Source organism: Homo sapiens, chromosome 1, assembly GCF_000001405.40.
Source record: "Homo sapiens chromosome 1, GRCh38.p14 Primary Assembly".
NCBI lineage: Eukaryota > Metazoa > Chordata > Mammalia > Primates > Hominidae > Homo > Homo sapiens.
Window position 1 is genome coordinate 185,108,255 of NC_000001.11, and position 27,237 is coordinate 185,135,491.

General features: G+C 37.7%; 1 protein-coding gene across 4 annotated transcripts in view; it reads right to left on the bottom strand.

Moving 5' to 3' along the window:
- Nucleotides 1-9,846: 9,846 nt before the first annotated feature.
- Nucleotides 9,847-27,237, bottom strand: part of TRMT1L (tRNA methyltransferase 1L) — a 39,437-nt gene continuing 22,046 nt past the window's right edge. For all 4 annotated transcript variants that reach the window (XM_047431291.1, NM_001202423.2, NM_030934.5 and 1 more), the window contains exons 11-15: nt 20,415-20,493; nt 16,690-16,856; nt 15,603-15,665; nt 12,129-12,255; nt 9,847-12,017 (exon numbers count right to left, since the gene is read on the bottom strand). In XM_047431291.1, coding sequence (XP_047287247.1) covers nt 11,765-12,017; nt 12,129-12,255; nt 15,603-15,665; nt 16,690-16,856; nt 20,415-20,493 — 689 coding nt within the window. In that variant the 3' untranslated portion in view covers nt 9,847-11,764. The remainder of the gene's footprint in view (nt 12,018-12,128; nt 12,256-15,602; nt 15,666-16,689; nt 16,857-20,414; nt 20,494-27,237) is intronic.

The following is a 27,237-nucleotide window of genomic DNA, read 5'->3' on the forward strand; positions in this document are numbered from 1 at the left end:
GCATGATTGTCTACATATAAAATCTTCAGAAATTTGTAGAAACACTTTTAGAACTAATAAGTAAATTCAGCAAGGTTGAAAGATACTAGATAAACATAGGAAAAAATAATATTTCTATATATTAGTGATTAACACATGGACACTGAAATTTTAAAATATCACTTATAAATTTTTTTTAAAAAAAAGACTTCTTTGTAAATATACAAGTAAAAAAAAGAAAGTAGCTTTTAGCCCAGGAATGCAAGGTTGGTTCAACAAACAAGTCAACTGATGTAATCTACCAATAAAGTACAAAACTGACATAATCATCCATTACAGATCCAGAAAAAGCATTTGAAAAAAAACTTCAGCCTTTTATGATTAAAAAAAAACTCAACAGTATAGGAATAAAAGGAAACATATTTAAAAAGGGACATTTAAGAAAAAACCAGCTAATTTCATACTTAATGGATGAATGTTTACATCCTATCTTAATTTTCTAAGGTTTTCATAAATTATTCCAAACTTGGTGGCTTAAAGTTATTCTCACAGTTCTGAAGGCCAGAAATCTGAAATCGAGGTGTCAGTAGGGTTGATTTCTTCTGGAAGCTGTGAGAGAGAATCCATTCCATTATAGTGTCCTAGCTTCTTGTGGCTGCTGGCAATTTTTGGCATTCCTTAACTTTTGGATGCATCACTCCAGTCTTTGCCTCCATCTTTTTTGTTTTTTTTTTTTTTTTTAGGTGGAGTGTTGTTCTATCACTCAGGCTGGAGTGCAGTGGCATAATCTCAGCTCACTGCGGCCTCTGCCTCCCAGGTTCAAGCGATTCTCCTGCCTCGGCCTCCTGAGTAGTTGAGACTACAGGCATGTACCACCATGCCCAACTAATTTTTTGTACTTTTAGTAGAGATGGGGTTTCACCATGTTGGCCAGGCTGGTCTCAAACTCCTGACCTCAGGCGATCCACCAGCCTCAGCCTCCCAAAGTGCTGGGATTACAGGCATGAGCCACCATGCCCAGACTTTGCCTCCATCTTCACATGGCCTTCCCCTCTGTGTCTATGTCTTCTTTTCTGTCTAAGGACACCTGTCATTTAGGATTTAAGACCCACCTTAATCCAGGATGATTTCATCTCAAGATCCTTAATTACATTTGCAAAGACCCTTATTCCAAATAAGGTCACATTCTGAAGTCTGGGTAGACATGTCTTTTGAGGGCCACTATTCAATTCATTATAGTACACTCTCAGATCCCTCAAAATTCAGGTCTGTCCCACATGCAAAATACCTTACTTCAATCCAACATCCCCCTGAATCAACCTATTCCAGCATCAACCTGTACATCTAATACCTCTTGTAAATATTTTTAACTCAAAAAGTCCCAAATCTTATCTAAATCAGGTATGGGTGATACTCTGGGTATGATCCATCCTAGGGCATAATTCCTTTCTAGCTGTAGACCTGTGGACTAGAAAACCAACTATCTGCTCCCTAAATACAATGGTGGGACAAGCACTGGATAGCCAATCCCATTCCAAAAGGGAGAAGGAGGAATGAATAAAGGTATCACAGATCCTAAACAAGTTCAAAACCCAGCAGAGAAAATCCCATTAGGTTTGAAAGCTTGAGAATTACCCTCTGCAGCTTAATCCTCTGCTCTCCAGAATCAGTGTTCCACACTCTGGGTCCATGGAGGCTCCTTTGGCTGTCCAGAGGGGTCACCTCTCTGCCCTCTGCTTCTGCATCTGTGCCTCTGGTTTTGGAGTCATTCTTTTTTTCTCTCAAAAGGTAGCACATGTTTGCAATTGAGTAGCCCTATCAGCCTGTTCCTGCCTGTAGAATTTTGAGAATCTAACAACCTTTTTTCATTTTGTATAGTCTCAGTCTCTTTTTATTCTAAGCCAGCAATGTTTCTGCTGCTATAACATTCTCAAAATCCTTGTCTATCTCCCATGTCTCATCCCATGGAGGTCCATGCCATTAGACAAGAGAGATCTTGTCTTGATAGATAGACCTATCTATCTCTTGACAGATCCTTCCTGGATAACCCCATCTCTATTCCTGGCTTTTGCTAAGACAGTTGATTACATCCATGAGTCACACACCTAATCTCTTCAGCAACAGGTTGTCCAGTCAGTCCCTTGGCCCTCTTTCCACAGCATGCCTTTCCAACAGTAGATTTGTTACTTAGCATCCTCTGCAATCAGGATAGGATGAGACTCTTGAAAATCATCAAGTGCTGGTTGCTTTTTGCTTAATAACCTCTTCAATTTATCTCTTTCCTCTCACATTTTACTCTAAGCAGCAAGGAGAAATCAGGCTGCGCCTTCAACACTTGTTACTTGAAAATCTCAGTTAAATATCCAAGTTCATAGCTTATAAGTTCGTTTTTACCCAACAGTAAAACATAACTTAGTGGGTTTTTCTGGTTTTGTTTTGTTTTGAGACGGAGTCTCGCTCTGTCACCCAGGCTAGAGTGCAGTGGTGTGATCTCAGCTCACTGCAACCTCCGCCTCCTGGGTTCAAGCAATTCTCCTGCCTCTGCCTCCCAAGTAGCTGGGACTACAGGTGCACATCGCCACGCCTGGCTAATTTTTTGTATTTTAGTAGAGACGGGGTTTCACCGTGTTGCCCAGGCTGGTCTTGAACTCCTGAGCTCAGGCAATCTGCCCGCCTTGGCCTCCCAAAGTGCTGGGATTACAGACGTAAGCCACCGCACCCCACCTTGTTTTTTTTTTGTTGTTGTTGTTTTGTTTTTTTAAGAGGGTCTCACTATGGTCCCTCTTAACTATAACTATTGTGCAGTAGCTATTCACAGGCATGATCATGGCATGTTAGAGCCTCAAACTCCTGGGCTCAAGTGATCCTCCTGCCTTAGTCTTCTGAGTAGCTGGGACTACAGGTGCACACCATCATGCCCCACTAATTTAGCCAAGTTTTATGCCACTTTATATCAAGGATTGCCTTTTCTCCAGTTTCCACTATTATGTTCTTCATCAAAGACCTCACCAGAAGCACTTATTAATGTTCATATTTCTACCAACATTCTGTTCATGAGAATATATTTATTCTCCAAGATAAAAAGCTTTCTATGACATGTACCTCACTTCCTTTTTAGCCCTCTCAAGAGTCACATTTAACATCCATATTTCTTCCAATTTTTTCTGTCTTCAAGGCAATCTAGGTAGGAATTCAAGACCAGCCTGGGCAACATAGTGAGACCCTGTCTCTACAAAAAATAAAAAATTTAGCCATATTTGGTGGTGCACACCTATAGTTTTAGCTACTCAGGGGGCTGAGCTGGGAGGATCCCTTGAGGCCAGGAGTTCCGTGCTGCAGCGAATTATGATTGCACCACTACACAGGCTGGGTGACAAAGTGAGCCCCTGTCTCTTAAAGAACAAAAACAAAACTCAAAGTGGATTCAAGACTTAAGACCTGAAACTATAAAACTGAACTGAACTACCTGAAACTGTAAAACTAGTAAAAATAAAACAGGGAAAAGTTTCTTGACATTGCTCTGGGCAATGATTTTTTTTTATATGACCTCAAAAGCACAGGCAACAAAAGTGAAAATAGACAAATGGGATTGCATCAAACTAAAATGCTTCTGATACAGCAAAGGAAACAATCCACAGAGTGAAAAGACAACCTAAAGAATGGGAGAAAATATCTGCAAACCACACATCTAATAAGGAGTTAATATCCAAAACATATAAGGAATTCAAAAAACTCAACAGCAAGAAAACAATCTGATTAAAAAATGGGCAAAGGACTTGGATAGACATTTCTCAAAAGAATACATACAAGTGGACAATAGGTATATGAAAAAATGCTGAGTATTACTAATCATCAGGGAAATGCAAATTACAATGAGATATTATCACCTCACATTAGTTAGAATGGCTATTGTGCAAAAAGACAGGAGATACATATTGGCAAGGGTATGGAGAAGAGGGAACCCTTGTACACTGTTGGTGGGAATGTAAATTAGTATAACCCTTATGGAAAACAATATGGAGGTTCCCTACAAAATAACAATAAAGCTGAGTTTGGTGGCTCATGCCTGTAACCTCGGAACTTTGGGAGGCAGGAGGGGTGCTTGAGGCCAGAAGTTCGAGGTAACAGTGAATCATGATTGTGCCCCTTCATCCCAGCCTGAATGACAGAGCGAGACCCTATCTCTAACAAAACTATATGATCCAGCAACCTCACTCTTGGTATTTATCCAAAGGAAATGAAATCATTCTGTCAAAGAGATATCCGCACTCCCATGTTTATTGCAGCCACTCCCATGTTTGTTGCAGCATTATTCACAATAACCAAGATATGGAATCAACATAAGTGTCCCCTGATGGATGACTGGATTAAGAAAATGTGGTGTATATATACAACAGACCACTATTCAGCCTTTTGAAAGGGGAATTCTGTCATTTGTGACAACATGGATGAAACTGAAGAATATTATGCTAAGTGAAATAGGCCAGACATAAACAAATACTGCATGTTCTCACTTACATGTGAAATATAAAACAGTTAAACTCATAGAATCAGAAGAATAGTGGTTGCCTGGGGCTAGGGGTTTGGGCATAGAGTGGGATTGGGAGATGTTGTCTAAGGGTTTAATTAAAAAAACTTTTAAAAAAACAATGAAAGATGAAAAGATGAAAGAAGAGATAATGCAATGCCATGGACTAAATGTTTGTGTTCCCACAAATTTGTATGTTAAAAATCTAAGCTCCAATGTGACAATATTTGGAGTTAGGGGCCTCTGGGAGGTGATTACACATTGTATATACATGTATCAAAATATCCCATGTACCCCCAAAATATGTACAATTATATCAATTTAAAAATACAAAATAACCCTAACAGAAGTACTAGAATGTAATGTGAAATGTATCTCTTAAGTAATAAAGGCCAGGTGTGGTGGCTCACCCCTATAATCCTAGCATTTTGGGAGGCCGTAGAGTCAGGAAGATTGCTTGAGCCCAGGAGTTCAAGACCAGCCTAGGCAACATAGGGAGACCTCATCTCTACAAAAAATTTAAAAATTAGCCAAGTGTGGTGACTCATGCCTGTGGTCCCAGCTACTCAGGAGGCTGAGGTGGGAGGATCACCTGAGCCCGGAAAATCAAGGCTGCGGTGAGCCGTGATTGCACCACTGCACTCCAGCCTGGGAGACAGAGCAAGACTTTGTATGAAAAAAAAAAAAGTAATAAAAAGATGGAAATAGAGTAAAAAAAAAAAACAATTAATCTACCCAGAAGGTCTGAAATCTGAAAGTTTCAGGAAGAGAAAGATGGAATGAAGGAAAGAAAATTATTAAACAATGTAAGAAAATGACTCCGAAGTGAAGGACTTGAATTTTTCTTTTTCTTTTTTTTTTTTTTTTGAGAGGGAGTCTTGCTCTGTCACCCAGGCTGGAGTGCAGTGGCACAATCTTGGCTCACTGCAACCTCCGCCTCCTGGGTTCAAGCGATTCTCCTGCCTCAGCATCCCAAGTAGCTGGGACTACAGGCACGTGCCACCACACCTGGCTAATTTTTTCTATTTTTAGTACAGACAGGGTTTCACTGTGTTAGCCAGGATGGTCTCGATCTCCTGACCTCGTGATCCGCCTGCCTCGGCCTCCCAAAGTGCTGGGATTACAGGTGTGACGCACCACACCCCGCCAGGACTTGAACTTCTAAAGAACCCAGAGAATGCCTAGCACAAATAATTTTTTTTTAAAGATGCACATCAAGCATAATATAGGATAAAAAGATGCTAAAATCTCCAGAAAGCACACACACACACACATATTCCCTCTCTCTTTTCTGTCAAAAAGATCAGAAATCATAGAATAGATATCTCAAAAATTGTTTAAGAAAATTAAATCATCTGTATCTTCTGTAGTTGGATTTTTTTATTTTTATTTTTGGAGACAGAGTTTCGCTCATTACCCAGGCTGGAGTGCAATTGCACAATCTCGGCTCACTGCAACCTCTGCCTCCCAGGTTCAAGAGATTCTCCTGCCTCAGCCTCCTGAGTAGCTGGGATTACAGGCATGTGCCATCACGCCCGGCTAATTTTTCTATTTTTAGTAGAGACGGGGTTTCACCATGTTGGTCAGGCTGGTCTCGAACTCCTGACCTCAGGTAATCCACCTGCCTTGGCCTCCCAAAGTGCTGGGATTACAGGCATGAGCCACGGTGCCCAGCCTTCTGTAGTTAGAATTTAATAGATAATGCCTAAAATGGAATACAGGAATACTATTGGTACTATTGGTATATTATTATTATTATTTTTTTTTTAGATACAGAGTCTCGTTCTGTCGCCCAGGCTGGAGTGCAGTGGCCCGATCCTGGCTCACTGAAACCTCTGTCTCCCAGGTTCTAGCAATTCTCCTGCCTTAGCCTCCCATGTAGCTGGGATTTCAGGTGCATGCTGCCATGTCCAGCTAATTTTTTGTATTTTAGTAGAGATGGGGTTTCACCGTGTTGCCCAGGCTGGTCTCGAACTCCTGAGGTCAGGCAATCCACCCGCCTCAGCCTCCCAAAGTGTTAGGATTATAGGCGTGAGCCATCGCACCCAGCTTGGTATATTATTTTAAAATAATAAGTAGATTCTTAGCTTACCTCTTTCACTCCTAAGAATTCATTTGACTTGCTAAATAATGTATATGTATTGCTTTGGCAAAACCAAACCAAAACTAGATGAAAATAAAACACTTGCACTCGTCTCATTTTTGTACCTAAATATGGTGTAACCTTGGCCAAATATCTTAGTTCCTTAACCCCATTAGCAGTGTTTTCTCCGATGGAGGGGTTGATGTTGTCTATGGTTCTTTCTATCTGTAAAACATGAATGCTTTATCTTTGAAAGTACAGCAGGTCCTTGAAAAAATGTTTTGTTATAATGTTGATGACCAAAAAATAATCACGTCCCTGGTGGCGCCGCTGTCTGTGTGGAGTCTGCCTGTTCTCCCCACATCTACATTGGTTTTCTCCTGGTGCTCCAACTTCCTCCCACATCCCAAAGATGCCCATATTGGGTTCACTGATGTGTCTACATGGTGCCAGTGTGAATAAGTGTGAGTGCACCCTGCCAAGGGATGGGCATCCTGTCTAGGGCTGGTTCCTGCCTTGTGCCCTGAGCTGCTGGGACAGGCTCTGGCCATCTGCTACCCTGAACTGGAATAAGCAGGTTGGAAAATGAGTAAATGAACACAAATTCTTGTAAAATAAAAATTTGTAAAGTAAATGATAATCATAAAGGTGTCTGTATTGACAAAAAAAAAAAAAAAAAAAAAGATGCAGTACAACAGTGCTCAGCAAGCCCACCATATTTGTTATTGTGTTTGAACTGTGCAGTGGTAGGAGGTGCTCCTTAAAATTTTTGCTTTGCAAACATTTATTCCTCAATTTAAACCCCCCACCATTACAATCGCTATCACTCAGGTTTACCAAAACTTGGGTAAATAATTATATTGTTTTTATTGATCTTTCTTAGATGTATGCATGGCTCACATGTATTTCAATGTTTAATATTAGAAGTGTTTGGGGTCTCTACTTAGAAGTTTGGTGATGTTTTTGTGACCAGAAATATGGTGTAGGAACTTAACTCTTGTTTATATCAATTATCCTATGGTTAAGTTGGTTTCATTATAAGTCATTTTGTTTAAAGTCACGGTCTCCAAGAGCCTATCAGCAACGGTAAGTGAAGACTTACTGTATTTAACAAAATCTTTACGGATTTGGACTAACTTCAGATAGTAGATTCTCACCAAATGTATTGAGATTTTCAAGTTGTAACTGATTATTGAGAGAGATCTGGAGTTCAATGGGTTTTTACCTTTTATCTTCAAAAGGTTGAGTTTGCAGTGATTTTTCTATTAATCTAAAACTAAGCTCTGGGACAATATTGGCCATAGAAAATGAGAATGAAGCTAAAAGACAGTGTTTTCTACATAGGGATAGATTATAAAGTATAGTGGTTAAAAGGTTTTAGAAATGGAAAATGTATAATAGGGCAGCGGTTAACTATTCTTTTGTAATTAATTCTGTTCTACAAGTTTCTACCGGATTGCCTTTGGCCAAATAAGTATTACTTTAAAGTAATCTTCTATTTTACATACATCTTTATGTTCTTCAATAAAGGAAGATTACCAAGTGGCTAAAGTATGACCTCTGAAGTTGGCTTGGGATTGGATCCTGGCTCTTTTACTAGCCAGTTTTAGAGTGGCACTGGATGAGTAAGTTAATCTTGTTTAGCTTGAGTTTCTTTTTCTATGAAGTGGGGATGATCGTAACAACTGCTATGGATTATATAATCTATGTAAAGATAGCACTGTGTAGTACTAAGTCTCATATAAATATAAGCTATTACAATTAATATTCCACTTCCTAGGGAATGTTTTTCCTAGGATTCTGTGAGCTGGTGGAATCCCTATCTTGTTGGGTCTTAACAAGAGTAGAGAAGCTGGTCAGGAAAGAGTGGTATTCTGAGAGTAAGAGTTTTGGGAAGACTACGATGAGTTGAGTATCCTAAATCCCAAACTCCTCACTTGAAGGTGAAGGAACCCCTTAGATATGCTTGTTACCTTGGCTGACCAGTACCTTAATAACCTCACTTAAAGGAGTTAGTTACCTTGCACAAAGAAGCCCATATGCCCTATCCCTACAATCCCTCATTGTTTCCAGGACACAGTTTGAGTCAGATCCCAGCATGTCCCAGGGAGACAAATACAAAGTGTGATCTGAAAGAGTCTTTTTTTGGATCTTAATATTGATAGGTGGAGAATATCTGTGGAAATAGATTCTGAATATGTAGGACCTTGGAAGAAAGGACATAAATTGGGTCAAATGATCACTATGGGTAAACCTATAGTAGAGATTTTGGCTCAGTCTATGAGACTGAACAGCTTGAAGTAGTCCTTTTTACTTGGTGGAAACACATTTTGACTCAGCAGTGGCTCATCTAAATTAGAGATGATATGCCAGAAACTCCTTGGTATGATGTAGAGAAAAGAAATCAAAGAAGAGGGGCCATGTTGGGGAGGATTTAATATGAGTGATCCTCTAACTGTATCCCTCGTAAGAGTCTAGTCAACTCTCTTTACCAAGGCATTGAGAAAAACACTGGTGAGCAGAGCACCAGCACTCTTGAAAAGCCATATAGTCTGTCTGTAGGCCAGAGATGCCAGTGGGAGATGCTTCAGTTGAAATGGACCCCTTGATTCGATAGGCATTTTCAAGACTGTTTTGTGTCAGAGACAAAGTAGTGCATTTAATTGCTAGACTAGAAAGGTGGGCATGGTTACTGTAATAGACAGCAGGAACCACAGGATAATCAGTATACTCTCAACATGAGGTCTGGCTTTGGCTGAAGGATCATGTGATCTAAAGAAGGAAAATGGATAGTCCTATTTGGTCTATGTTACTAAAAACTGTTAGTCTGACTTGAGCCACTGTAGTAATCATGAGCCCTTAACTGATTCTCAGGTCTGATTTAATTCAATTTCTGGAGGCCTTGGAGAAAGGACTTTGACATAATATCATGAGTATGTATTATGTATCTCTTAGCATTCTCCAAAGTAATCTGTGGCCATTTACCAGAGCAGTTACACAGTGCAGAAAGAAATTCCTAGACCTTTCGGGCTCACCAAACATGCTGAATTAGTCCTAATTTTGGGCAACCAGAACATCAAACACTTATTCAGAGTGGAGTCTTGTGGAAGTCAGTATAAGTGGAGTTTTGACCCAAGTCCACCACAGTGACCCCTAAACCCATCCCTTGGTTACTTCTCCCATTTCCTGAGTGTATGGCTAGAGTATTAACATTAGCAACTAGCAGAGTCAACACACTGGTTTCCTTAACTCGTTCTTTTGTTTATCAAGTTTTAATGAAAGGATACAACTGATGCTACTTTACAACATGATAAACATTTGCAATGTCCCAAATTACTACTATTGTTACGAGAATAAGATTGCTCAGGTTGCTAAAAGGAATTTTTAAAGTATTTCCTCTTTTGGTTGATGTAGTACCTGATCAGAGTTCTAAACTACCGCCTACCAAATTTTTCTTTGAAAAATCTACCTTTATATGTGAAATTAATATACACATATATTTTAGGTAACAGTAATTTACAGGTTTCTTTATTAAATTAGGATCTTTGCATTAAGCCCAACTCATCACTGATCAACATATTTCATGCTGATAAGCATTTAGCAAAATTTGAGACTGATATTCAATAATATGTATTAAATCAGATAATCTGAGTGCTAAAATAGTTTGCCTCCTGGATTTATAGTAATTTTTAATTGAAAAAAACCTCATTTATTCTGCTCATTTGCAAGTTATAATTTTAACTGGCAAGAATTACACAGCAGAATTTTTTTAATGGTCATTATAGAAACTAGCTTGCACTTCACCTATTTCTTGATTTTACCGAAATTTATGACCACATTAATTGGAGAAAGGAAAATAAACTCTCTTGGGAATACGCTGTACTAGCACGAAGAGATTTTCCTTCATTTCTGCAAAATTAATATTCTCTATTCATCTAATGCCTATCCACTAGATTTTTTTGTATATGTCACAGAAGTACTTTTTTCTTAGGTAGTATATTTAAACCTTTCAGTTATAATTATTACCACCCCCTCCACCCCCTTCCCCCCACTTAATGGTTATAAAAAGTTACATCCCTTAAGAAATATTTAGGGATAAATATGGATCAAATCCTTGAGACAAAAACCCAAACTTTATACCAAATCCTTTCATCCAAAATCTTATATTCAAATGAAGTGAGAATTCCATTAAGGAAACAATATTTTTTTTTTCAACTAATTTTTATAGTTACATCAGCCTGGGCTAATTATACAGAAAATTTATACAAATACACACAAAACCAAAAATACCAAACCAAGCAACAACAAAAAAACAACCCCCAAACCCAAAAACTCTCATTCCATAAGGTGACAAATTTTACTTCTGAGAGGTAGTACAACCAACCAAATGAATACTGTACGTGCATTAACTGAGGCACTTAAGATCACCCAACCTTTTTAATTTATAACCAAATCTCTCCTCTTCAGGATTTCAGTGCTCATGAACAAGTATTATATTAGATTAATGGTCTCAATTTATTCTGACAAAATCTTACTTTGAAGTTTAGTCATTTAGACCTTAAAGTTACAAAAATAAAGTATTTCTATCTCAGGCAAGTATTTAATTTCTTAAAAGCTAGTAAGAAATGAAAAGATCAATGTGGAGAGAAGTATGATTTCTTAAAAATGGGTACATATTTTAGTTTTTTAATTGTGAAATACATTATGACCTGTAAGAACATTGTTCTTCCTATTCTATTCAGGGTCATTTTAACATGTGAGCCTTCAGCTTCATTTTGTACACTACAAACAGGAAAACATAAACATCATGAATCAGTTTAGGCAGAGATGTGATTAAGAATTGTAAAAGATGGCTTTCATAACATACATAAAATTCCAAACACTTTGCATGTGAAAATTTTCTGAATTATTAAGCAGTAGGGTGATCTCAGTGAGACTTGGCTTCATATGAAATGTTTCCATTAAAATTTTAAGTTTGCCTTAAAACAAAAAAAAACTTGGAAAGCAAAGCTCCCAAACCAGCTAAGTTAGAAACTGCTCAGTTTCTGAATGAAAATGACACTGTTTTTTATTTTTACTCTACTGAATTGAAAGAACAGAAAAAGAACTACAGTTGGTATAGAGAACTATTAGGCCATCTATACAGACACCTGAGAACCAATTCTTCTCTACGTTTACCATCTTCTGCAGCCACTTGCTTCTGCTTTGTCATTCACTGACATTTCAACTCTTTCAGTTACTGTATCTTCAGATGCTGACTGGACATGGCTTTCTGACTGTCCTCCAGTGTAGGTGGGGGTGCTGTACTTTAAAAGGATAGATTTAAACTGCATCAGAGGTGCATCTGTGCGTACACCCATTGGGTCAAAATGAGTTCGGCTTACTCGAAAGCCTGCTTGAGATAAATAGCACAAAAACTTTTTTAACCTGCAAAAAGGAAAGGAAAGAAAAAATAATCAGGTTCTTGTATTTTTATTTAAATCACAATATTATTAAAATATAAAATATATATACTTTGTCATTCACTGGGTGTCTTACTTTGGCATATTCATTCCTTTAATGCTGTGTCTGTGAATGTTGTAATAAAAGGGAGGATGTTCAGTACTGACATCAGTCTTTTGCTTCTTGCCTAAATTTGTGATCATTTCATTACTTTTTCTCTTTCCTGCAACATACACATACAAAGTTAGCATGCTCTTAAAAATTACAAGCCAAATACTTTTATAACTATATATTTATCTCAAGTATAAATCCTGACACATTATTTCAACCTGACTATCCAATCTTAATTCTTATAATTTATTCTATTTTCACGGTCCTTCACTTATGTAATTTTCATATTAAACTGCTGAATCAGAACTTCCTTTCTACCTTCTTCAACTTCAAGCCACACTCTATTTCGTCTCCTGTAGGAAGCCATCTGTCAATCTGGGGCTAGTCACTTCATACATTTCATTGTTGTTAATACTACACTACACTACTCAGAGTTTGATTAAGTTGTCATTTTTTTTTCTTTTCTTATAGTTCCTTAATGTGTGTAAGTCCTTTCTCCCCAAGTTATATTCTAAGTTCCTAAGGACAATGTCTTTCATTTTTATACCTGTATTTCTACTGAGTGATCAGTATTGGATACACAGTGGGTCTTTAGTAATCACAAAACAAAGAAAAACAACACAAAGTCTTGAGAGTTTGGACACAGAAACTGACATAAGGTCAATGTTATGATCTCATTGCCTATTTCTCATCACAGCACTTAGTTTTTTCATTTTGAGTGAAAGGAGGCCAGCTAAGATTCTAGAACTGTATCCTTCCAAAAATCACAACATGAAAACAACTGAGATATCCAATACTATAATGAGATTTTGCCTGGTGTTCAACCCTTGATTATTTATATATGAACGTTATGGTCAAATCTTATCTCTTCAGGGAAAGTAATTAACATCTGCTTAAGCAAAATATTCAGAAGCTGCCAGGAGCAGTAGCGTACACCTGTGTAACTGGGACCCAAGTCCCAGCTACTTGGGAGGCTGAGGTGGCAGGATGGCTTGAGCCTAGGAGTTTGAGTCTAGCCTGAGCAACACAGTGAGACCCTGTCTCTTAAAAAAAAAAAAGTATTGAAAAGGCAAAGTTGATACATAAAAATAAATTACATTCAAAATAAATATAAATTATTGCTGAACTGTTGCCTCTTTACATAAAAACATAAAGCAAAAAGGACAACCTGGGATCCATCCATCAAATCAGAATTATAATTTGAAATCTAAAATTTGAAACTGCATGAAATCTAATGAGGCACCTAGTCAAAGGATAGATATCCAGATTTAGTACAAGTTCTAGGAGCATCTGAGGCAAAAAATCTGATGTAATACGTTAATAGTGAGTATCATCAGCAGTATATAGATTTTTTTTTTTGGCCTGGTAATTTCTTCTTTTTTAAAAAATAATTTCAACTTTCTTTATCGATTAAAGGGTATATGTGTAGGTTTGTTACGTGGGTATATTGTGTAATGCTGGGGTTTGGGGTCCTAACAACCCCAGCACCCATGCAGTGGGCATAGTACCCAACAGGTGGTTCTTCAGCCCAGGCCACATCCCATCCCTCCCCCATCTAGTAGTCCCCAGTGTCTATTATTCCCATCTGATGTCTGTGAGTACCCAAAGTTTAGCTCCCACTTGTAAGTTAGAACATGGGGCTTTGGTTTTCTGTTCTTGCATTAGTTTTATTAGGATAACGGCCTAGAGTGCCATCCATGTTGCTGCAAAGAGCATGATTTTGTTCTTTCTTATGGCTGCATAGTATTCCTTAGTACATATGTTCATTTTCTTTATCCAGTCCATTGATGATGGGCACCTAGGTTGATTCTGTCTTTGCTACTGTGAATAGCACTGCAATGAACATATAACGTATCTTTGACAGAATGAATTATTTTCCTTTGGGTTTGCATAGTACTATCATTTTAAGATTTTATGTGTTGACCAATGGTCTTAGAATAACCATATAATTTAAAAGTTATAGAAGAGCCCACAAAAATTAGTCTAATTTCCTTAATTTACTTATGAGAAAGGCTCACAGATTAAAAACAAATTTTTTTTTTGAGATGGAGTTTGGCTGTGTTGCCCAGGCTCACACAATCCTTACACTATCCTCCCACTTCAGCCTCCTGAGTAGCTGAGATTACAGGTGTGTGCTACTGTGCTCTTGGCTTTTGAAAATATTTTTAAAGCTTATTTATGTTTTACTTTATTCTAAAAAGGATTTAAGATAATTTTGCTGAATGGGAGGGACCTGGCTGAGTTTATATAACAACGCCTGCATAGGATAATACTCTTAAATCTAATTTTTTTTTTTTTTTTTTTTTTGAGACAGTCTCGATCTGTCACCCAGGCTGGAGTGCAGTGGTGCAATCTTGGCTAACTGCAGCCTCTGCCTCCTGGGTTCAGGCAATTCTCCCACCTCAGCCTCTCAAGTAGCTGGTATTACAGGCTTGCACTGACACACCTGGCTAATTTTTGTGTTTTTCGTAGAGACGGGGTTTCACCATGTTGGCCAGGCTGGTCTTGAACTCCTGACCTCAAGTGATCTACCCAACTTGGCCTCCCAAAATGCTGGGATTATAGGCATGAGCCACTATGCCCAGCAAATCTAATATTCTTTATAGTGTATCATAATGCTTCTTTGTCTTCCCTCCAACAGAGAAATTAGGTAGAATGTATCAATTTAAGTTATCAAATTAGTTGAAGATGCCAAATGAACATGGCTGTTGCAAAGAGTATGCAGTAGTTATTTAAACTATATACTATTAAAAGAAATTTAAGTTTCCTTGTCTTTGAAGGTCAACATTAAACTGCTGAGCAACTAATAAAAAATTACAGCTGATAACTAAAGGCCACTGCTCTTTCAAACTTAACACTCTACAGTCTTCTTTTCATCTGTACTCAAAAAACACATCTAGAATCTAAAGTTTTTTAAAAAGCAAAACAAAACCTTAGACATTAGGGCACTGATATTTTAAATCTTAACATCCTTTAATATGAATTTAGTGTCTACCACAGCTAGATTTAAAGTATGCACATATCCTAAATTATATGAAAGGCCATATAATAAATTCTTTTGGCTGAAGAATGAGGTCTTCTGGTTACTTAAATGGAATTGCTATAAATCATATATTAATGAGCAATTTTTAAAAGAATTAGAATAAAATTTTATCTTAACTATAAAATTATATATAACTTTATCATATATAATTTGATCTTATTTTATTCACATGGTTCAAGATCATACAGTTCGTTCAAAGGGATAACCATATATTACAGATGTGAACAAAGCATATGTTAACAGAAATTTCCTATGTGTGAATGCTGATAAACAAGTTTTACTACAGTTTTGTTGTCATATAATATGAAATGTATTTTTAAGTAGGCTACCATGGCAATCTCTTCTCTTCCTACCCTTTTGCTATATGCCTTTTTGACCTGATATGTACATATGTACACACATATATGCATACATACCTTGTGCAATGTAATTATCTGTTGTGGTGTCATCTGTAGTTTTAATAAATACACCATTTTCTTCTAAAAAATAAAGCAAATGGGAAAAGAAAATATTTTACAGAATGACATAAAGCAACAACTCAGTTTAAATAAAAGTTTATGAAATTCCATCCACACTATTTTCACGAATATGCAAGAGATTCTGTGGCCAAACTGAACTGCAAAAATTACATTTTTAACCCTCTATAATAGCAGTTTCTAATTATTTATGAGAACACTAGGATATTCAATAGGCTCATATCAATAGTCAGATACAACTACAAAATTGGCTGTTTGTACTAAACAGAAAAAACACATAGCTTTACTGAATGAGAAGTATAAATGTAGTTTCTGTGTCTTCATAGATATTACAATTTTTGGCCACAACACTCCTTGAATTACCAAAAGTTTCTTTTTCTAGAAAGCACATCTAGGGTAATAAAAATCACAAAGGACCTTTAGTGTTTTTTTTTTCTTTTTTTAAATCTAGTAAAATTAAAAACACACAAAAAAGGAGGTTATCTTTAAAAAAAAATTATCAGGGCATGGTGGTTCATGCCTGTAATCCCAGCCACTTTGGGAGGTCAAGGTGGGAGGACTGCTTGAGCCCAGGAGTTTGAAATCCGCCTGGACAATATGGTGAGACCCCATCTCTAAAAAATATTAGCCAGGTGTGGTGTGCATGCTTGTGGTCCCAGCTACACAGGAGGTTGAGGCTGAGGCAAGAGGACTGCCTGAGTCTAGGAGGTTGAGACTGCAGTGAGCCATGTTTGTGCCACTTGTATTCCAGCTTGGGTGAAAAAGTGAGACCCAGTATCCAAAAAAAAAACAACAAAACCAACAACACTATTCATCATTCACCTATTCATCTCAGGCCTGATTACAAGCCTGAATAAAACTATGTAATTAAAAAAAAACCAGAGGATCAGACTCATTAGAGAAGATTTACTAAAAACACACTATTTATAATTATATTGGTTTTATTATAACATCAAATACAATTGAAAAAGATACAGTATTTTTGGTAAGCAGTTTAAAGCTAGTAAGCTAGCGTTCAGTTAGTCACCTTGCTTGTTGACATTTGAAGATGCATGAATTGAAAACTGACTTTGAGGCGTACACTCTGATTCAAAGATTAATGTCTTTATTAGGGTCTGAATGTCATCCAAACCATGGTGAAGAGATTCAAATAGCATTCTTTTGAGGAATCCAGTATTGAAAAGGGAACTTGACCTGAAAAGAAAAGAATATACAGAGAACTGGGTTTGAAAAATGTTTCTCTTTAAAAAGAAAGTCTTCACAATTTAACTATAAGTAAGATATATAATTAATTATATGACAGAGTAATACTTAAATTCAAAAAGAATTTATGATTTAATTTAAAACTGTTTATTTTCTTTATTATTATTATTCTTTTTTGAGATAGAGTCCCGTCCTGTTGCCTAGGCTATAGTATTTTATTATTTTTTAATAGAGATAGGGTGTCATCATGTTGCCCAGGCTGATCTCAAACTACTGGGCTCAAGGGATCCTCCTACCTTGGCTTCCCAAAGTGCTGGAATTACAGGTGTGAGACACCACACTTCTGGCCTAAAACTTTATTTTCTATTTGCCACTCATTTTTATCATATCAGTTCTCTAAACTAGTAGCATTAGTCAAGGAAACTTAATTAAGTCAACAAGAATCTATTGAGGCTGGGAAGGGGAGAAGGGAGAGGGTGATGAAGAGGGGTAAAAGAATATAAATGTATTTATTACCACTGAAGTGTATACTTAAAAATGGTAAAGAAGGAAAATGTTATATGTGTATGTTACCTTAATAAAAAAATAATTTATTGAACTCTCATAAGGTATACAGTACTGTGGTACACAGAGGGTGTGTGGAGGATATACCAAAATATAATATACAATGTTGACCTTATAAAAGCCTATAAATCTAGACAGGAAAATAAAGCAATGAAGAGGTTTTCACAATGCACATTCTAGTCACTAATAGAAAATCTTAATTCTGATGAGTTTATGGTGGTAGGGTGGGGCAGGACAGGGCAGGGGAGCACATATATGAGAATTATATGTGGTGATGGTATGGTTCAGAAATAGTCTGGGGTGAATCTGATATGCTTCCCATTTAATTTAAGAATCACAGGTATAATGGACAAAATATGAAATTCTGAGTATGATAAACTGGATTCCAATCCTGGCTCCACCACTTACTAGTTATGTAATCTTTTTATTAAGAGACAGGGTCTCACTATGCTGCCCAGGCTGAACTTGAATTCCTGGGCTCAAGGGATCCTCCTGCCTCAGCCTCCTGAGTAGGTGGGACTATAGATGTCTGCAACTGTGCTGGGCTAGCTATATAATCCTGAGTAATTACTACTTTTCAGTCTTATATTCCTCATCATGAAATGTAAAATAAAACTTTTTTCTTTTTGGAGATGGAGTCTTGCTCTGTCGCCCAGGCTAGAGTGCACTGGCGCAATCTCAGCCCACTGCATGCTCTGCCTCCCGGGTTCACGACATTCTCCTGTCTCAGCCTCCCAAAGTGCTGGGATTACAGGCATGAACCACCACGCCTGGCCAAAAATAAAACTTCTCTATATATCCTCAATGTATGGTAGCTACTATTGTTAGGGTTAGCAAATATATATGAAAGAATATATGATTTTAAATTATCAAATATGTGATCAATATAAGATATACTAAAGGGAATTTAGAGATTATATTGGGTTGAGGCACTAAGAAGAGACTTCAAAAAGAAAGTACAATTTGAATTGGAGGTGGTAGAGAGGGGAAGGTATTCTGGATGAGTGTAAAGCCATGAACACAATAGCTTTCATGTGGAAATCATAAGGTTTTATTAAGAATTCATAATCCCAGCACTTCGGGAGGCCGAGGTGGGTGGAGTCAGGAGTTCAAGACCAGCCTGGCCAACATGATGAAACCCCCTCTCTATTAAAAATACAAAAATTAGCTGGGTGCAGTGGCACATGCCTGTAGTCCCAGCTACTCGGGAGGCTGAGTCAGGAGATTCGCTTGAACCCAAAAGGTGGAGGTTGCAGTAAGCCAAGATTGTGCCACTGCACTTCAGCCTGGGCAACAAAGTGGGATTCTGCCTCAAAAATAAAAAATAAAAAAAGAATTCAGTCCTGGGAGTCAGAAAACCTAAGTTCTAGCCTTGGCTGTGGTATGAATTTTTTTGGTCAGTTTTAGCAAGCACTTAAAAACACTGTGCCATAGTTTCCTCATGTGTAAAATAAGGCAGTTAGGCTAGAAATCTTCCTTCTGGATCCAGTAACCTGCTATTTTTAATTTCCTCAGTTCTGAATCAGTGAGTAGGATCAATGTGTAGCAGATGCTATAGGTGAGAACTAGTTTTAGAAGAACTAGAAGGTAGGGCTGGCTAGATCTTTCTTAATCTAAGAGTATTTAATAAGATGAAGATAAAATCATGAGCATCAGCACAAAGACATTTACCATGTAGGTCAATTTCTAGGTTTAGTAGGTGCTTAAGCCTTGACCTTATAAAGTAATGAGAAGAAATTTGCAATTCTTGTCACAATGTTCTTAGGAATCTTGAATTTCTGTAAGAATCTCGGCCGGGTGCGGTAGCTCACACCTGTAATCCCCAGCACTTTGGGAGGCCGAGGCGGGTGGATCACTTGAGGTCGGGAGTTTGATATCAGCCTGACCAACATGGAGAAACCCGGTCTCTACTAAAAAAATACAAAATTAGCTGGGCATGGTGGCACATGCCTGTAATCCTGGCTACTCAGGAGGCTGAGGTAGGAAAATTGCTTGAACCTGGGAGGCAGAGGTTGTGGTGAGCCGAGATAGTGCCATTGCACTCCAGGTTGGGCAACAAGAGTGAAACTCTGTCTCAAAAAAAAAAAAAAAAAAAAAAAAGAATCTCTAGTAACAAACTTAAGGTAAGGATTCTGATTAAAATAATTTGGCCAGGCGCAGTGGCTCACACCTGTAATCCTAGTACTTTGGGAGGCTGAGCCAGGCAGATCACCTGAGATCAGGAGTTCGAGACCAGCCTGGCAAACATGGTGAAACCCAGTCTCTAATGAAAGTACAAAAATCAGCCAGGTGTTGTGGCGGGTGCCTGTAATCCCAGCTACTCAGGAGGCTGAGGCAGGAGAATCGCTTGAACCTAGGAGGTGGAGGTTGCAGTGAGCCGATATTGCGCCACTGCACTCCAGCCTGGGTGACAAGAGCGGGACTCTGTCTCAAAAAAACAAACAAACAAAAAAAACCAATTCAACTTTAAGGTACAATCAGCTGTTACCAATGATGCAAAAGCATATACACATTAAATATTTCCAATTGTGTATCATCTAAATAACTTTATCTAAAACAAAGGCAGACACTTTCACATGCCTTTCTCTCTTAAAACTAATTCTTCTAGGACCTTTTACATGAGTTGGCTCTTCTATAAAAAGTTATTGTGATCATTTAAAAATCACATGCTAGATCTACAATGATCAATTTTAAAAAGCTTCTTTCTTACTATTCAGAAATGAATTATCTAGTTTCCAGATCATCCAGGCTTCTCTTTTACCTCCATTGCCTCTTAGTTCTGTCACAAACTAGAGAGAATAATGGTAGAGAAAAATCTCAAAATATTAAACACCTCAGGTTCATAGGAGGAGAAGAGTCATAATTATTTGCCTAGACTTAACAATTGAATTTAAATTTGTCTTTTACCACACATAATAAAAATCAGCAATTAATAAATCAATCAATACATCAAATTTTAATATGTTCTTATGGCTGGTCACATACCACAGAGGTCCAAGTTCTATTGCTGTCTTTCCAGGCATGCTTCCATGACAGTTACAAGGCAGCTGTCTATATGGGTTTTCTGTAAAAAGATAATAAAAGGAGAAATCAAAGGAGAAATGACTAATACAAATAGTAGTAATTGTTATATTAATAATAATGTGCAGCTACTATATACTGAGGATCTACTATGTGCCAGGTATTATGCTAAGTATTTTATGTATGTATATATGTGTGTGTGCATATGTATACGTATATATGTATACACACATATATGTGCACACACACACATATATATATTTTTTTAATTTAAGTCCTTACAACTCTCTGAAGTAGGTACTGTTAAAATCTCAATTATACAGATCAGAGGATTAAAGCTTGAGAGAGGTGGAAATTCATGTCAAATGGCTTATTAGAGGTGTAACTGATATTTACTTACTATACCACATGAAATAATATAAGGAAGGAGAAAGTCTTATAAAGTTTACAAGAGATCCATATTTCAAAATTAACTGATTAAGGTATAATTTATGTGCAATAAAACATATATACTTTATATTAAAAAGTTGATGAATTTTAACAAATGTATACACCCATGTAACCAACATCCCAATCAAAATGTAGATATTTCTCATAAGTTAACTCTTCCGCAGTTGGAAAGAAAATTCCTTATGCTTGATTCATATTCAGCCTTCAAAATGTAGGCTAGAAGAATCTAATTTGGTTTAAAAAGCAATGAATGAGAGTCCTGATATAATCACAAGGAAACTGGGGAGATACTAGCACTATTCTTAGTTTTCAAAATGGGCTAATATTTGACTATGGAACTTTTAAATCCATTCAAGGCCCAAATAGTCATTTTATATCAGATATTCTCCAACTAATTCCCTCCACTCCAGGCCATTCCTGGGTTATCATTCACTTTCTTGAAATGGCCTGACCTAATCAATCAGTCCCAGATACATTCAGAACCAAAGAATGGTGGCAGGAACACAGGTCGATAGCCTCTTGCTAGCTGATACTATCACTCTGCTATTCAATACAATTATTGGTATAATGCATAGTTATGAGATCTTATTTTACATTTACTTAAAAGTGTCCTTCACTGCTCCTAGGTCTACTTTTCAGTATTATTTAATTCTAAGCTTTGATGAAAGGGTGTGGTTAGCACTGACGTAAAGTTTTGTTGAGAACTATGTTCCTCAAATATGAGTATACTTAAGAAGTCTTCTCTTAAACCATTACATCACTAAACTACAAATACTTATAAGCAGTCATCATCCAATTCAGGATGGCAATTTATAGTATAGTTCTGTCAGCTACACCCACTTACCACAGGCAGAGAGCACAAATGAATTATTAATCAGTTTGTATCTTGATGCACTGTGCAAAATAATCTTACCATACAAACGTGCCTTTTCCCAAGCCTCTTTGCTAGGATTTCTCAGGTCTAAATTAGCATCAGCAAATTTCCTCTCTGAGGGCCAAGGCTATCAATTCAAGTTACTAGCAGCAAATAATGAAGCGGTAAAGTAGAAAGAAAACTAGTATTTCCGTGTTACTGGTACATAAGCGAGGAAGGCAATACCAGATGAGGAGTTAAAAAATATTCTGAGACTTCTATTTAAATGCAACAGATTAAACATGCACTCTCTCTCTGCTGTCTCTTAACGCTTAAATGACAGGAACAAAAATTAAACTACAAGAATAAATAAAATGGGAGAGGAGGTAACAAAAGATGAGAGATGCCAATAAAATTTCAGAAGCAGGAGTCACATACACAATGGGAGAACTGATTATCAGACCAGAAAAATCTAAAGCATAAGCCTGAAATGGATAGATGGGCAACCAACAAAACAGAAAGTTCATTAGTGTTTTGGGACCCTGCGACGGCCTGAAAATTGAAGGCAATGATTGTCTCTGAAGATGACTATAGAGAGGTATTGCAAATAAGAGGTCTGGTTACAATTTTTTAAAGGGTTCAATTAAAACTCCAGATCTTCTCTAATACAATCAAGCGTCTGTGTCCTCCCCATTCCAAAAGATGAAGTTAATCTTTGGTGAGGCTAAACTATTGAGGATATGAAACCAGCAGTTTTAGTTACAGTTGAGAGTGAGATGTCTGAAAACAGAGGGATTAAGTAAAAATCTGCTTTCCAGTCTCTGTCCCCAGTGTGGCTCTCCCAGAGCTGCTAAAAGATTGGTTGATTCCTCTCTGGAAAAATTTACCAATCCAAGACAAAAGATCTATGTATACTTGTTGACATTTGGGGGTGTCTTACTAAAAAAAGCAGACTGGTATCTTCTTATCACAGTAAAATCCATTGGTTTATTTTTATTTTTATTTTTTTTTTGAGACAGTCTCGCTTTGTTGCCTAGGCTCAAGTGCAGTGGTGCGATCTTGGCTCACTGCAAGCTCCGCCTCCCAGGTTCACGCCATTCTCCTGCCTCAGCCTCCCGAGTAGCTGGGACTATTGGTGCCCGCCACCACGCCCGGCTAATTTTTTGTATTTTTAGTAGAGACAGGGTTTCACTGTGTTAGCCAGGATGGTCTCGATCTCCTGACCTCATGATCTGCCCGCCTCAGCCTCCCAAAGTGCTGGGATTACAGCCAAATCCGTTGGTTTATAAGCTCTGCCCCAAGTGCTTTAAAACAATTTTTCACTGTGGACAACCGAAGACCACAAAACATTTGAGAACTACCATGACAGACAGAGAACAAAATTACAAAACAGAAAAAGTTAAAAAACAGGAGAACTGAACAACAAAACAACAGCAACAATACAAAACAAACAAAAAACCCCTATTCTCCCCTAAATATAAAATATACCCAAGTATAATCAATTCTTAGAAAGGTAAGAGATTTTGTATCCCTGAAACAATATGACACTATTAAAAAAGGAACAATAATCACTTGACTAGCCTAAAGAAAAAAAAAGGAACAGTGAAAAAATATGAAATAACTCTTAGAAATGAACAAAATATGACAGAAATTTAAATAAGAGTTGGAAAATAAAAATTAAGGAAAAAGTATAAAGTAGAACTAATTGCCAAAGAGATGAACCGTATAGATATTTTAAAAAATTAAAGGATTAATCTAGAAGACCCAAAATATAACTAAACAGAGTTCCTGAAAGAGACAACAGATATAATTTGAAAGGCAAAACTTGTCAAAGAAATAACATCCCCCAAGGGCCAGGTGTGGTGGCTCTTGCCTGTAATCCCAGCACTTTGGGGAGACGAGGTAGGCAGATCACTTGAGGTCAGGAGATCGAGACCAGCCTGGCCAATGTGCTGAAACCCTGTCTCTACTAAAAATACAAAAATTAGCTGAGAGTGGTGGCACAGGCCTGCAGTCCCAGCTACTCAGTAAGCTGAGGCAGGAGAATTGCTTGAACCTGGGAGGCAGAGGTTGCAGTGAGCCAAGATCACACCACTGCACTCCACCCTGGGCAACACAGCAAGACTCCATCTTAAAAAAAAGAAAAAGAAAAAGAAAAAATTAGTCCCCTTGCCCCCCAAATTTATCAGAGCTGAAGAGCTCAAGTTTCTGACTTAAAAGAACTCAGAGGCTGGGCGCAGTGGCTCATGCCTGTAATCCCAGCACTTTGGGAGGCCAAGGAGGGCGGATCACTTGAGGTCAGGAGTTCCAGACCAGCCTGGCCAACATGGTGAGACCCTGTCTCTACTAAAAAATACAAAAGTTAGCTGAGCATGGTGGCATGTGCCTGTAATCACAGCTACTCAGGAGGCTGAGTCACGAGAACTGCTTGAATCTAGCAGGTGAAGGTTGCAGTGAGCTGATATCATGCCACTGCACTCCAGCCTGGGTGACATAGCGATACTCCACCTCAAAAAAAAAATAAATAAAAATAAAAATAAAAATAAATAAATAAATAAATAGAACTCAGAGATTATCCAGTAAACTGAATTTAAAAAGATGAACTCATACACATATTATCTCAAAATTATTTTAGAATACTGGGTTTAGAAGAGATATTTTAAGAGCATTCAGAGAGAAAATAATATAACACTACACAAGAAAAGCAGCAGACTTCTCACTGGAAGCTAGAAGACAATGGAATAATACCTTGAACATTTTGAGGAAAAAATGATTTCCATCCTAGAATTTGGTACTTAGCCATGCAATACTTCTCTGCAATCTATAGGAAAAAGTGTCCACTCAAAATGAAGAAGTAAACAAGGAAAGTGGGAAAATACACAGGATCTGCGATAGGAGATTTATCACAAAAAGAAAGTTAAAGAAAATTTCCAGGATGATGGTTAAACAGAAGCCCTTGCACAACAGATTTCAGCAGATACAGAAAACAAACAATCCAAACTACAACAGGAGGGCTGTCTCCAGGGGAGTGAAATTTATAGCCAAAGATTACCTAATGTGCTTAACTATGGTGAAGGAAGCATTGAAAATGTAGCAAAGAGTTTAGGGATGGATTATAAAAAGTATTTTTTTAAAAAGGTAACAAGCACAGTAAGTATTAATTCCAGAGTTACCGAAGAGTTGCATAAGAAAGGAAACATTATTATAACATATATGAATCAGCTTTTATTTTTATTTTTGTAGAGACAGGGTCTTGCTATGTTGCTCAGGCTGGTCTTGAACTCCTGACCTCAGGCAATCCTACCTCAGTCTCCTAAAGTGCTGGGATTACTGGTATGAGCCACCATGCCCGGATTCATATGGTTTATCTGTACTGTAGCAGCCTTCCAAAATGATCAGCAATAATCCCTGCCTCTTGGTATTCATACCCTTGTGTAATACCCTCCCCCTGAGTAGGCACTGGTTCTAGAGACAAATTTCTAACAACTAAAATATGGCAAAAGTAATGGAGTATTACTTTGAGATTAGGTTACAAAAGACCTCTTCTATCTTGCTGGCACTCACTCACTCTCTGGTTCTTCTGACTTGCTTTTTTTTTTTTTTTTTAAGAGATGGCATCTTGCTCTGTCACCCAGGCTGGAGTGCAGTGGTGTAACCATAGCTCACTGCAGCCTTGAACTACTGGGTTCAAGTGATCCTCCTGCCTCAGCCTCCCAAGTAGCTGGGACTAAGGGCACAAACCACTGACCAACACCTTGATCTGTGGCCTTGTGAGAGACCCCGAGCTAGTGGACCCAGCTAAGCCATGCTTAGATTCTCAACTCATAGAAACTATGGGATAATAAATGTTGTTTAAAGCCAATAATTTTGGAGGAATTTGTTACACAGCAATAGACAGCAAATAAAATTTGCGAACAATATTTATCTATTTATAAAAATACTAACACTAAATATTGATGTAGTCCAACGTGGAAGGGGGAAAGCATGCATGTGACTCGATTGGTTTAAAAAGCCAAATACTCTTTTTCCATGGAAGGAAGTTAGATGCATTATAAACATGTTATTTAGAAATATGAATGTAAGCATTATAAGAAACAGCTGTGACATTTTAACTGTTTAGGGAGTCAGGCAGAGGTTATTATTTTATTAATAAGACTTACGGAACTATTTGACTTTTTTTTCTTTCTTTTTTTGAGAGGGAGTCTTGCTCTGTCACCGAGGCTGGAGTGCAGTGGCATGATCTCAGCTCACTGCAACCTCTGCCTCCTGGGTTCAAGTGGTGATTCTCCTGTCTCAGCCTCAGCCTCCTGAGTAGCTGGGATTACAGGTGCCCGCCATCACGCCCAGCTAATTTTTGTACTTTTAGTAGAGATGGGGTTTCACCATGTTGGCCAGTTTCGAACTCCTGACCTCAGGTGGTCCGTCCGCCTCAGCCTCCCAAACTGTTGGGATTACAGGCGTGAGCCACCGTGCCCAGCTATTTGACTTTTTAAACTATGTATTACAAATTGATAAAAATTCTGAATGAGATGACTTCTTTGTAGGACATACTTGTTTATTCTAAGTTCTGTATGATTCCAAATAAAATGCAAAAATAAATCATTGCTTTATAGTTATCACTTATCAAGTCAAAAAGTCTTTAAAATGTTTGATTAATGTCACATACATAAGAAAGAAAAATTATAAGAACTTCTATAAGGCACTCAAATTCTTTAACCTCTTTAAGTATACAGGCTATTGGACATGCTTTGGGCAAAGAAAAGCTTTGAACATGAAGGAAACAAAGTAGTATTTTTCTTATGAGCTCTATTGAGTAAACTGAGAGTTAAATTTAACCAAGTAAGAGATGACTAGAGAAATTATGGCAAAAAGACTGATGACATATACAGAATATTATTATATGTAGAGATTAATCTGGCAAAACAGAATGTTAAGTGTTACATATTCTAATAACATAGAGATGGTATAACAAACAAAAATTAGGAAGGGAAAAATGGAAAACAGGGAGCTAATTATCTCAGTTGTGGTATCAAGGAGCCAAAGTATATTACTTAAAACTGATAAATCCAAATTACAGAAGTATATACATATTTACTACTAAAAATAGACATTAAGAAAAACAAACAGGCCGGGTGTGGTGGCTCACGCTTGTAATCCTAGTGCTTTGGGAGGCCAAGGCGGGCGGATTGCCTGAGCTCAGGAGTTCGTGACCAGCCTGGGCAACATGGTGAAACCCCGTCTCTACTAAAATACAAAAAGTTAGCCGGGCATGATGGCGTGTGCCTGTAGTCACAGCTACTTGGGAGGCTGAGGCAGGAGAATTGCTTGAACCTGGGAGATGGAAGCTGCAGTGAGCCGATACTGTGCCAGTGCACTCCAGCCTGGGTGACAGAATGAGACTCCGTCTCAAAAAAAAAAAAAAAGAAAGAAAAACAAACAATTACAATAAAATATTTAAAGCAGCCTCTTATCTAGTCAAGAAAA